The sequence below is a fragment of the Homo sapiens genome, chromosome 1, assembly GCF_000001405.40.
Source record: "Homo sapiens chromosome 1, GRCh38.p14 Primary Assembly".
NCBI lineage: Eukaryota > Metazoa > Chordata > Mammalia > Primates > Hominidae > Homo > Homo sapiens.
In genome coordinates this window covers 161,286,339-161,299,935 of record NC_000001.11, presented here as the reverse complement: position 1 = coordinate 161,299,935, position 13,597 = coordinate 161,286,339, and the positions used below count along the sequence as shown (strand labels likewise).

Sequence of the window (13,597 nt, the reverse complement as noted above, 5' to 3'; positions counted from 1 at the left end):
CTGTACTTCAGCCGGGGTGATAGAGCAAGATCCTGTCTCAAAAATTCATTTACCACTCAGTTCAGTGGTAAATGAATTGATTATTTAATAAAATATATTGGCATTGGCACAGTTGACTTATACGCCTGGAAGAAATCAAAGTAAAAAGTTTTTTCCCTCACATCCTATACAAAAATAAAATAAAAATTTTAAAAAGACAAATATTAGAAGGAAATAAAAATATTTGTTTAATCTCCAAATGGGGAAGGTCTTTAGGCAAGACAGGAAATCCGGAAATCATAAAAGAAAGTGATAAAAAGTTCAATCTCCCGGGGCTGTGGGCCCTGAAGATGTGGCGCTGTGTAGCAGCCGCCGCCTCGTAAGGCCTGGGCGCTGTGGCCTGGGCCCTGTGGCCTGGGCCCTGTGCCCTCCTAGAGGAGCAGGCAGGTCCCCCAGACTTGAGGTGGGGGCTCTGCCAGCTCCAGCACCACCCTTGCCCCGAGTCTTTTAACCTGAGTGTTAGCATTTTAAAGAGACCCTGCAGGAGTTCTGGCCTCTGACTAACTGCCCCACCCCAGCAGAGACCTGGTCGAGACTGTAACTAGTGATGTTTGTACAACCAAAGACTCTATTTTGTGGTTTAAGGAGAATAAAGTTGACTACATTAAAAAAAAAAAAAAGAAACTCAATCTCTCTCTTTTTTTTTTGAGATGGTGTCTCGCTGTGTCACCCAGGCTGGAGTGCAGTGGCACAATCTTGGCTCACTGCAACCTTCACCTCCTGGGTTCAAGTGATTCTCCTGCCTCAGCCTCCCATGTTGCTGGGATTATAGGTGTCCATCACCATGCCCGGCTAATTTTTGTATTTTTAGTACAGATGGGGTTTCGTCATGTTGGGCAGGCTGGTCTCAAACTCGTGACCTCAAGTGATCCTCCCACCTCGGCCTCCCAAAATGCTGGGATTACAGGCATGAGCCACCATGCCCAACCTAGTTCAACCTCTTTAATGGCAAAATACATTATAAACAAAGACAAAAGACAACTGGTGATGATGGATAAAACACAAGACATATGAAATGTCTTTCTACACATTTTTTTTTTGGGGGGGTGGGGCAGATGGAGTCTCACTCTGTCGCCAGGCTGGAGTGCCATGGTGAGATCTCGGCTCACTGCAACCTCCACCTCCCAGGTTCAAGCGATTCTCCTGCCTCAGCCTCCTGAGTAGCTGGGATTACAGGCGCGCGCCACCACGCCCAGCTAATTTTTTTGTATTTTTAGTAGAGACAGGGTTTAACCATGTTGGCCAGGATGGTCTCGATCTCTTGACCTCATGATCCACCAGCCTCGGCCTCCCAAAGTGCTGGGATTACAGGCGTAAGCCACTGCACCCGGCCTCTATACATTTCTTAATATCTCCGAAATTCCTACCTCCAGATACTGCCCCGTTTCTCCGCTTCCCTGTATAGCAAAACTCCTTGAACAAGTCTAGGATACTATATTTAATACCTCCCATTCTCTCTTCAACCCACTTCAATCATGTCTCTATCCTCATCACTCCACTAAAACTGCTTGTTTCAAAGGGCATTAATGATGCTTATTTTGCAGATTCAGTGGTCACTCTTGTCTTTCTCATCCTCTCAGAAGTATTCAACATTACTAGCCACTTCCTCTTTCTGTTAACACTTTCTCTCTCTTTTTTTTTTTGTTTTTTCTTGAGACAGAGTCTCGCCCTGTCACCCAGGCTGGAGTGCAGTGGCACGATCTTGGCTTACTGCAACCTCTGCCTCCTGGGTTCAAGCGACTCTCCTGCCTCAGCCTCCTTAGTAGCTGGGATTACAGGCGCCCACTACCACACTAGGCTGATTTTTGTATTTTTAGTAGAGACGGGGTTTCGCCATGTTGGCCAGGCTGGTCTCGAACTCCTGACCTCCTGATCCGCCAGCCTCGGCCTCCCAAAGTGCTGGGATTACAGGCGTGAACCACTGCGCCTGGCCAATAAATTAACTTTAAATCAGAGATTGCAACAACTTGGAAAACATCTGTTGTTTGTCCTATATGTTTGTTTATTCAAATAATGCTACAATTGATTGTCATCAGGCAACAATCACTTTGAACTGAATATTGTTTTTCCCCTTTAGATGGGATCTAAATCCTCACTTCTCTCATTTCCTTACCTGCCTGACCACTATGAACATATGAGTTTGCTACCCTGCCTTAAAACATCTGAGAAATTGTTGGACAAATATTCATGTGTAGAAGTAAGGTTGAAGAAGGAAAGGCATGGGCAGACTACACACACAGAGCTTTTCACAGTTCTTCAAATAGGCCAACAGTGATTGTATTCATCCCTGATTATGTTAATTCTGTCACAGTCCCACCAAATATTCTATGATGTAGACTATATTGTAAAGTTCACTTCCAGTAAACTGTCTAATAATATAAAAAGAAGAGAGGTGAATAAATGGCTAACATAAACACATATCTATTATAATAAGCAAATAGAAAATAGGCCAACTTCCTGCAGTCCAGTCCTCATTTCCATAATTGGGTCAAAAGACATATTCCACTTCTACTTCTCATTCTGTATTTCCCCATTCTCACTCAGAACTTCAGATGGTCAGAGTTCTTCACCTGTACAGGGACCCAAACTTCCATTTCTCGCTCAAGGTCTGAGTTCTCAATTGTCTTGCCCTTTTTTTTTTTTTTTTTTTCTGTATTTGGTTGCTGTATTTGTCCATTAACCTTTACTATTGGGCTGGGAAGTACTAAGTGGCACTCCCAGAGAATCCCCTGGGTTCTGGAAATAGCTTTCCTTGTCCCCACTGTGCAGCAATTCAATTTCCCCTATGTAATCAGGATCAGTCACACCAGCCAGTGGAATACAGTAGCCCTCCTTTATCTGTGGGGGATGCGTTCCAAGAACTTTCCGGATGCCTGAAACCAGGGATGGTACTGAACCCTATATATACTATGTTTTTTCCTATACATATATATCTATGATAAAGTTTTTTGTTCTTTTTGTTTTTGTTTTTTTGAGATGGAGTCTAGCTCTGTTGCCCAGGCTGGAGTGCATTGGCACAATCTTGGCTCACTGCAACCTCCGCCTCCCTGGTTTAAGCGATTCTCCTGCCTCAGTCTCCCAAGTAGCTGGGATTACAGGTGTGCGCCACCACGCCTGGCTAATTTTTTGTATTTTTGGTAGAGACAGGGTTTCACCATGTTGCCCAGGCTGATCTCAAACTCCTTACCTCAGGTGATCCGCCCACCTCGGCCTCCCAAAGTGCTGAGATTACAGGCATGAGCCACCGCATCTGGCCTATGATAAAGTTTAATTTACCAGTTAGGCACAGTAAGAGATTAACATAAATAACTACTAATAATAGAAAACAATTATAACAGTATGCCAACATCACTACTCTTGCATTTTGGGGCCATTATTGAGTAAAATGAGGATTACTTGAACACAAGCACTTGGACAGTTGGTTTGATAACTGAGATAGATACTAAATGACTAAAGGGCAGGTAATGTATACAGCATGGATATGCTGGAAAAAGGATAATTACATCCCTGGCAGCACAAGATTTCATCACGCTACTCAGAACAGTATGCAATTTAAAATTCTTGAATTGTTTATTTCTGTGATTTTCCATTTAATATTTTCAGACCACAGTTGGCTGTGGGAAACTGAAACTTTGAGAAGTGAAGCCATAAATAAGTGGATAGGGGGAACTATTATAATCCTTTTGTTTGGCTTTTTTGTTCAGTGTCATATAAAGCCCCAAATGGCTAGGTGGCATTCTTGTCTTCCAAGTCAATGAAACCATTGCTGTGTTCACTGGTGGACACAATCTTCCTTTGGAGACAAAGTCCTCCAAACCAGCAGAGCTCAAAGCTGCTGGGAAACAAAAGTTCAATGAGTGGGTTATTAGTGTAACAGTGGAAGAGCCATTCCCACATCTACTTGCTGACTCCTGAACCCATATATTCTGGCTGTGGGGGAAACACCACCATATAATGGCCTCTCATTCAAAACACATACTGTACCTTGTAAGATAGATCCCCATTGTTTCAGGGTATTGTCTGCCAAGTGTTGCTGTGAGTCTTTAGTAAGTCAGTCCATGTTTCAAATAGGCATCTGCTTCCAGGTGATGAGAAATGTGGTAAGATCACTTAATTCCATGAACATTGAGCTCATTACTGTACTTCCTTTGCTGTGAAATAAGTTCCTTGATTAGACACAATGCTATGGGGAATGCCATGACTATGGATAAGGCATTTTGTAAGCCCACAAATGGTGGTCCTGGTAAACGCATTGTGTATAAGGAAAGCAAATCCATATTCAGAATGTATCTTTTGGCAGGGCGTGGTGGTTCATGCCTGTAATCTCAGCTACTTGGGAGGCTGAGGTGGGAGGATTGCTTCAGCCCAGGAGACAGAGGTTGCAGTGAGCTGTAATTGTGTGATTGTGCCACTGCACTCCAACCTGAGTGACAGAGCAAGACCCTGCCTCAAAAACAAAACGAAACAAAAAACCCTCTGCCCCCTCCATGATGGAGGAAGGCCAGTGTAATTAACCTGCCATTAAGCATCCAGTGGGAAGGTGGTCCCCTCAGAGAATAGTGTGTATCAGGGCCTCAATGTTGGTTTCTGCTCTTGACATATTAGGCACTCAGTGGTAGCATTAATTAGATCAGCCTTGGTAAGGGAAACTCTGTGTTGTTGAGCTCATGCATAGGCTCCATGCCTGCCAAAATGGCCACTTTGTCCAAGGGCTAACTGAGCAGCACTGGGGGTGCCAGGAAAAGAGGCTTTTGGTGGACAGTCACCTGGAACATTAATTTTTTCACAGTCTGTATCCATTCTGTGTTCCATTCATGTATCTCTTCTTCATCTATAATATAACCAATATAGATATAGATATATGTTTATTATAAGAAATTAGCTCACATGATTTTGGAGGCTGGGAATTCTCAAGATCTGCAGAGAAGTTCCAAAACCTGCAGTCTGCAGGCCTGACTACCAGCAAGTTAATGGCATAAGTTCCAATTCAAGTCCAAAGGCAGGAGAATACCAATGTCTCAGTTTGAATACCATCAGGCAGAGAGAATGAATTTTCTCTCATTCAGCCTTTTGTTCTATTTACACCTTCAATAGATTGGATGAGGCTCACCTATAATGGGGAGGATAATCTGCTTCAGACTACTGATTCTAATGTTAGTCTCATCCAGAAACACCCTCACAGACACACCCAGAATAATGTTGAACCAAGTATCTGGGCACCTTGTGGCCCAGTCAAGTTGACACTTAAAATTAACCATCACATATAACCATTTCCATTTAATGATAAATTGCTGCTTTGTGGCTGGGCACAGTGTCTTATGCCTGTAATCCCAGCCCTTTGGGAGGCAAAAGCATGTGGATGGCTTGAGCCCAGGAGTTTGAGACTAGCTTGGGCAACATGGCAAAACCTCATCTCTACAAAAAATTCAAAAATTAGCCAGGTGTGGTGTTGCACACCCGTAGTCCCAGCTACTCGTGAGGCTGCGGTTGGAGGATCAGTTGAGCCTGGGAGGCAGAGGTTGCAGTGAGCTGAGATCTCACCACTGCACTCTAGCCTAGGCAACAGAGTGAGACCCTGTTTCAGAAAAAAAAAAATGCTGCAGCTGGGCACGGTGGCTCACACTTGTAATCCCAGCACTTTAGGAGGCCAAGGCGGGCGGATCACCTGAGGTCAGGAGGTTGAGACCAGCCTGGCCAACATGGAGAAACCCCATCTCGGCTCACTGCAACCTCCACCTCCCAGATTCAAGAGATTCTTAGCCTTCTGAGTAGCTGGGACTACAGTTGTGCACCACCATGCCTGGCTAATTTTCTTGTATTTTTAGTGGAGACAGGGTTTCACCATATAGGTCAGACTGGTCTCCTGGCCTCAGGTGATCTGCCAGCCTTGGCCTCCCAAAGTGCTAGGATTGGACACATGAGCCACCATGCCCAGCCTAATTTCTTCCTTTTTAAAATTATTTTTTATTTTTAATTTTTTGTATAGACAGGGTCTCACTATGTTGTCCAGGCTGGTTTCAAACTCACGGCCTTGTGCAATCTTCCAGCCACGGCCTCCCAAAGTGCTGAGATTACAGGCATAAACCACCACACCCAGCTACGCAACTTATTTCTGAATGCAGGAGACCATCAGAGGAGTATTAGGGGTTTAAAATAAAATATGAGTTATGAAGTCAGAAAGGCCTAAAGTTTTAAGGAAATTATTTAGTCTCTCTCTATGAATCCTTCTTAATCTATAAAATAGGAGTAATAATATATAACTGTTAGAGAATCAAGGGAAATGTTGAATGTCAAATTATGGTGTTAAAGAAAAAAATTTATTTACCATAAATAGACCTGATTCAGAATCATCTTCAGTAATACCTTCTTTCCTTCAAAAGTGGCTTTGGAGTCATGTAGGATTTTTTTTTTTTCTTTTGGGACGGAGTCTCGCTCTGTCACCCAGGCTGGAGTGCAGTGGCGCGATCTCGGCTCACTGCAAGCTCCGCCTCCCGGGCTCACGCCATTCTCCTGCCTCAGCCTCTCCGAGTAGCTGGGACTACAGGCGCCCGCCACCATGCCCGGCTAATTTTAAGTCAGATTGATTGACTGATTGATTGATTGATTGATTGATTGATTTGAGGCATGGTTTTACTCTGTTGCCTAGGCTGGAGTGCAGTGGCACGATCTTGGCTCACTGCAACCTTGGTCTCCTGGGCTCTAGCGATCCTTCTGCCACAGCCTCACGAGTAGCTGGGACTACAGGCAAGCACCACCATGCCCGGCTAATTTTTATTAGGCGGATCACTTGAGCCCAGGAGTTCAAGACCAGCCTGGGCAATGTGGCGATACCCCCTTCTCTACAAAACATACAAAAACTAGCTGGGTGTGGTGGCACATGCCTGTAGTCCCAGCTACTTGTGAGGCTGAGGCGGGAGGATCAATTGAGCCCAGGAGATGGAGGCTGTAGTGAGCCGAGATGCTGCCACTGCACTCCAGCCTGGGAGGCAGAGCAAGACAGTCTCAAAAACAAACAAAAAAAAACTGCTGTGAATGCAACAGTAATACATGCAAACTGATAGGTAGGTATTAGAGACTCAAATACCACAGATAGCATTGTCTTATGACATGGATTCCTGAAATGGCAAACAACTCTTGGTAAAGTTCTGAACAAAAATTATGATGTCCCTTCAATCTACACATTACTTGTATTTCTTGGAAATTCAGGGTCTAAAACAATGACAAAAATACTTTGCATTTATATGTAAAATGGAGTTGTGTTCCAGGCTCCTTCTGGTTATAACAGGCTTTATTTACCTAAATTAATATCCAATGGGACTTTTTTTTTTTTAGATGGAGTCTCATTCTGTCACCCAGGCTGGAGTGCAGTGGTGCGATCCCAGCTCACTACAACCTCCGCCTCCCTGGTTCAAGCGATTCTCCTGCGTCAGCGTCCCGAGTATCTGGGACTACAGGTGCACGCAAGCATGGACAACTAATTTTTGGATTTTTATTTATTTATTTTTTTAAAGACAAAGTCTTGCTCTGTCGCCCAGGCCGGAGTGCAGTGGCACGATCTCAGCTCACTGCAGCCTCCGCCTCCCAGGTTCAAGCAATTCTCCTGCCTCAGCCTCCCGAGTAGCTGGAATTACATGCTCCCACCACCATGCCCAGCTAATTTTTGTATTTTTAGTAGAAATGGGGTTTCACTATGCTGGCCAGGCTGGTCTCGACCTCCTGACCTCAGGTGATCCGCCCGCCTCGGCCTACCAAAGTGCTGGGATTACAGGTGTGAGCCATGGCGCCTGGCCTCCAATGGGGCTTTTAAAAGTCATGTGAGATGTGGGACAATTCTTTTTTGTGCAGCACTGTCCTGGTCATTGCAGTATTGTCTAGGATCCTTGGCTCCTAAATACCAGGATCCTTCACCACCACCATCACCACCCCACCCCCCACCCCAATACACACACACACACACACACACACACACACACACACACACAATGGTCATTGCAGTATTGTCTAGCATCCTTGGCTCCTAAATACCAGGAACCTTCACCACCACCATCACCACCTCACCCCCCACCCCAACACACACACACACACACACACACACACACACACACACACACACACACAGTGACAACTAAAAAAAATCCCCCCACAGATACCCAAAACATCCCCTAGAGGGCAGTGCACCCTGTTGTTGAGAACTGATTTAGAAGAATAAATGAGGCCTAGGGCCTTCCCATGAGTTAAGAGGAGAGTTTAGCTTAGCTTCAGGATATCCACACCTACTCACTGGTTCTTCCCTGGAAGGATGAGGGACCAGAGAAGGTACAGATTTTACCTGTCTAGGTTATGAGGGACCAAGTGGATATGCCTGAGCTCAGCTAAGGGAAGCTCTGCCCTATAAGCTAGGCTGGACAACATTCTTGACAACCAATCTATTGCCCTTCACTTATCTAGCCCCTTATCAGGGTAATACAAAGGGCTCAGATTCTGGAGCCAGACTGCCTGAGTTCTGGTCCTAGCTCAAACATTTATTTGTTTTGGGCAGGTTATTTAATATTTATGTGCCTCAGTTTCTTCATTTATAAAATGGGGATAATAATAGTATCTATGTCATAAAGCAGCAAGAATTAAATGAGTTAATATATGTAAACGTGCTTAGAATGGGATCTGACACACAACTACTTACAAATCTTAGATATTACTATTATCATCACCATTCATATTCTGTAGGTAGCATAAGGCTGAGGAATCACCCCAACTTGGGGGTGAGCATCACTGAAGATCCTAAGTCTCATGTAACCTGAGCCAACAAAGAGTTATGTGCAGGTAAGGATACTCTCAAGTGATCTAGTGGGGGTGGCTCCCTTTGCTTCATGTGGATTGGTGAGTAAGGAAAGCCTATGATGATGATGACCATGATGATGATGATGATGATGATGATGATTGAAGCATGATGCTGAGAGGAAGGGTTCACCCTAACCCGATGACTGCAGGAGAGAAAGAGCCAACAAAGGAATGAGGAAGCTCTTCCTGCACCCTAGTGAACAGGCTGACTTTCTAATTATCTGTGGACTGTGAATCTCTGCCTTTGTAGATCTGGAGTCAAAGCTGCCACCTAAACAACCAGAAGGAAAGGCACCATCTTACACAAAAAGCAAACCTCAGGCCAGGCGCGGTGGCTCATGCCTGTAATCCCAGCACTTTGGAAGGCCGAGGTGGGCGGATCATGAGGTCAGGAGATTGAGACCATCCTGGCTAACACGGTGAAACCCCATCTCAACAAAAATGCAAAATATTAGCCAGGCCTGGTGGCGGGTGCCTGTAGTCCCAGCTGCTTGGGAGGCTGAGGCAGGAGAATCGCTTGAACCCGGGAGGCGGAGCTTGCAGTGAGCTGAGATCACACCACTGCACTCCAGCCTGGGCGACAGAGCCAGACTCTGTCTCAAAAAAAAAAAAAAAAGCAAACCTCCTGACCCCCACCCTCAGTTTTCAGAGGCACAGACAGCAGAGGAGCTACATTTGCAGAGAAGATGATGAAGGAAGACAGCAGCTCACTGGAGAGTGATTCCTGTGAGGGCAAGTTTTCAGGGACCGAGCACAGCAGGGACAAGGAAGCTGCCAGAAGCCACTCCCACTGCAAACAGTTCCAAAAATAAGGGAAACTCAGCAAGGGAAAGAGGGTGGAGGGAATGGCAAAGAGGTGGGCACCGAGGGCAGCTCCCAAAAAGGACATTAGGGCAGGGATTAGTTGCAAGAGGAGGAGATGGAAGAGATGAAAGTGGAAAGAGCTGACTCTAGATTGGGGCAAGATCAAGGGGACATCAAGGGTCCTACCCAGCAGCAACACTAAGTCTCTGAAATTAGAATTGCAGGATCATCCAGGGAGCAGAATCCTTCTACCTTTAGCTGCCTGAAACTTCACCAAGATGTACATATTTGGACTTCAGGAACATAATTACAACTATATCCCCTGCTTGGATTGCCAGACCTCTCCCACGTATAGATGGGACTATTATCCCAGCTCTGCCACCCCTACGCAGTTGAAAAAAATACCAAAACAGATATCAGCGATATGGATGTGATATTGTGATATAATAAGAAATATATATTTGGTTTTCCTCCTTCAGTTTTGGCACAGTGGGTTCCAGCACACAGCTCCTAAAACCCTTAGAATTTCCTAAGTGAGCCAGGTGCAGTGGTACATGCCTGTAGTCCCAGTTTCTCAGGAGGCTGAGGTGGGAGGATTGCACCTGTGAATAGCCACTGTACTGAAGACTGGGTAACATAGTGAGACCTTATCTCTAGAAACAAATTTTTTAGTTAAAAAAAATTAAAGAATATCCTGAGTGTTAGGAGGGGAGCATCTTTATTATTTGTAATAAGCCCCTTTCTTCTTCTTCTTTTTTTTTTTTTTTTGAGATGGAGTTTCACTCTTGTTGCCCAGGCTGGAGTCCAATGGCGCTATCTCAGCTCACCGCAACCTCCACCTCCCAGGTTCAAGCAATTCTCCTGCCCCAGCCTCCCGAGTAGCTGGGATTACAGGTATGCGCCACCATGCCTGGCTAATTTTGTATTTTTAGTAGAGATGGGGTTTCTCCGTGTTGGTCAGGCTGGTCTCGAACTCCCAACCTCAGGTGATCAGCCTGCCTTGGCCTCCCAAAATGCTGGGATTACAGGCGTGAGCCACCGCACCCGGCTTAATAAGCCCCTTTCAACCTTATCTGTGTTTATGTTAATGAGCCAACTCTCTGAGGATGAAAGCCTGGTTGCCAGAGAAACCAACCTTGTGATTAGAGGTTTGGAAATTTCAGCGCCCGCCCCCCACCCCCCCAACCCCCACCAGGCCTTCAGGAAAGGCAGAGGGGACTGACTCAATCAACAATGGTCAATGATTCAGTCAACCATGCCTACATAATAACGCCTCCATGAGAACCCTAAACAATGGGGCTTGAGATTCGGAGAGCTTTCAGGTTGGTGAACACATGGAGGTGCTGAGAGGTTGGCACACCAGAGAGGGCATGGACGCCCCATGCACCTCTTATCCCCATACTTTGCTTTATGCATCTCTTGCATTTGTTTGTTCCTGAGTTGTATCCTTTCTAATAAATCAGTAACAGTAAGTAAAGCAGTTTTCTGAGTTCTATGAACCATTCTAGAAAATTACTGAACCTGAGGCATGGTCATGGGAACCCCTGATGTACAACCAGTTTGCCAGAAGTATAGGTCACAATCTGAGACTTGCAACTAGTGTGAAGTCTTGGTAGTGTCATAATTGGATTGCAGGACACCCAGTTGCTGTCCACAGTTGGAGAATTGCCTAATGGGAGGAGAAAACTCAAACATTTGGTGTCGGAAGTGCTGAATATAAGAAAAATGAGTTTCTTCTTTTTAACTTTCTTCCTTGACTGTTTCTTATGCTTGTATTTTCTGCTAAGCCATTTATAAAGGCATTCACCCATTCCCCAAATACTCAGTTTTTGCTCCACAAAAGAAAGCACTCAAGAATAATTCCTCAGTGATTAGTATTTGAGGATTAGTTCTTCAGTAGTAGGTACTAGAGGGACAGGGAAGTGAAGCAAGGTTCTAGAGCCCCAAGATCCCAGCCTCAGCCCAGGGCCCCAAGGAGGAATTATAGGCATGCTAGAGAAAAGAGGCTCAGTTTGAGTGCCCATGATAGGAATAAGTAGCATGGCAGAGAGAAAACAGTGTTCAGAACCTTCATTGAGAACTACCATTTGTTCAGCAAAAGATGCCCAAGTCTCTCTTTCTGGTTAGAGCTCTTTCCCAAAGCAATGACTATGTTTTTGCTACCATGCCCTTTATTAAAAATATGAGTATGAGCATGAGAACAAGCATAACATTTTTAAAGCGAGAGATGGTAAAGGGAAAAATCATTTCAGCACTGTGCTCCAGATCAGTGTGGCAAAAAACAAATAAACAGATACCCCCAAGCAGCAGAGTCTGCAAGAGAGGAGCTGGTGGCAAAGGACTCCAGCATTGCCTTAGCACCAGCCACAAAAGTTCACTTCACCAAAAAGAGGAAGCCCCTGCCTTACCCTAGTACCCACAGGGGCAGACCAGGTACAGCACCCATCAATTCTCATCTTATGTCCATGGAACAAGGGAAGGGGGAATACTCCAGCTTTATCAGACACACTGGACACACAGCAGGTGTGGCAATGAGGTTATCCTTTTATTTGCCTATGAGGCTGGGACCAAAGTTCACCATCATTACCATACTGTACTCAGAACAGATTCCAAAAGTAACAGTAAAATTTCCTCCTTTTCCCTGGCATCAGAAGAAGGGGGGAATTCCTTTAACATAGGACCTTCCAATGAATTACTGGTCAATTCTCCTCATATCCTATGGCAACGGGCTTGCTACGCATGAGTAAACTTTGAGCTATAGGTTACCTTCTAGGGATATTGTTCCTTGTTTCCCATTCATAGCTGCCACATGGTTTACACACACATACACGTTTTTTTTTCAGAGACAGGGTCTCCCTCTGTCACCCAGGCTGGAGTGCAGTGGTGTGATCATAGCTCATGGCAGCCTTGAACTCCTGGGCTCAAACGATCCTCCTGCCTCAGCCTCCCAAGTAGCTGGCATTATAGGCATGCACCATCGTGCCCAGCTGACTTTTTTTTTTTTTGAGATGGAGTTTCACTCTGGTTGCCAAGGCTGGAGTGCAATGGCATGATCTCAGCTCCACAACCTCTGCCTCCTGGGTTCAAGTGATTCTTCTGCTCAGCCTCCCAAGTAGCTGGGATTAAAAAGATGTGCCACCACGCCAGGCTAATTTTGTATTTTTAGTAGAGATGAGGTTTCTCTATGTTGGTCAGGCTGTTCTTGAACTCCCAACCTCAGGTGATCCACCCATCTTGGCCTCCCAAAGGGCTGGGATTACAGGCATGAGCCACCGCACTTGGCCTCCAGCTGACATATACATACATATATATATACATATATATATATTTTTTGAAACAGAGTTTCACTCTTGTCACCCAGGCTGGAGTGCAGTGTAGTGGTGCCATCTCTGCTCACTGCAACCTCTGCCTCCTGGGTTCAAGCGATTCTCCTGCCTCAGCCTCCCAAGTAGCTGGGATTACAGGCATTTGCCATCATGCCCAGCTAATTTTATATTTTTTAAGTAGAGACAGGGTTTTACCATGTTGGCCAGGCTGGTCTTGAACTCCTGACCTCAGGTCATCCACACACCTTGGCCTCCCAAAGTGCTGGGATTACAGGCATGGGCCACTGGGCCCGGCCTGACTTCTGTATTCTTAAATCAAGAAGGGAAGGGTAAATATGAAGAAGTAAGGGGACTTAGAAATAGGAAGTAGAATGGTGGTTGCCAGAGGCTGGGAAGAGGGGAGATGGGGATTACTGTCTAAAGGATATAGGTGTAGAGTTTCAATTTTACAAGATGGAAAGAGTTACAGAGATGGATAGCGATGATAGTTACACAGTATTATTGAATGTATTTGATGCTATTAAACTGTACACTTAAAAATGGTTAGGATGAAAAATTTTGTTATGTATATTTTACCAGAACAAAAACAA

The 13,597-nt window shown here is 45.1% G+C and overlaps 2 long non-coding RNA genes across 2 annotated transcripts; one reads left to right on the top strand and one right to left on the bottom strand.

Moving 5' to 3' along the window:
* Positions 1-3,585: 3,585 nt before the first annotated feature.
* On the bottom strand, positions 3,586-5,607 carry LOC124904442 (uncharacterized). Its single transcript, XR_007066692.1, has 2 exons — positions 4,024-5,607; positions 3,586-3,871 (listed from the first exon to the last, which is right to left on the bottom strand). It is a non-coding gene; the product is annotated as an uncharacterized LOC124904442 (long non-coding RNA).
* Positions 5,608-8,603: 2,996 nt separating this feature from the next.
* On the top strand, positions 8,604-11,158 carry LOC107985221 (uncharacterized). Its single transcript, XR_001738270.2, has 2 exons — positions 8,604-9,248; positions 9,520-11,158. It is a non-coding gene; the product is annotated as an uncharacterized LOC107985221 (long non-coding RNA).
* Positions 11,159-13,597: the final 2,439 nt, after the last annotated feature.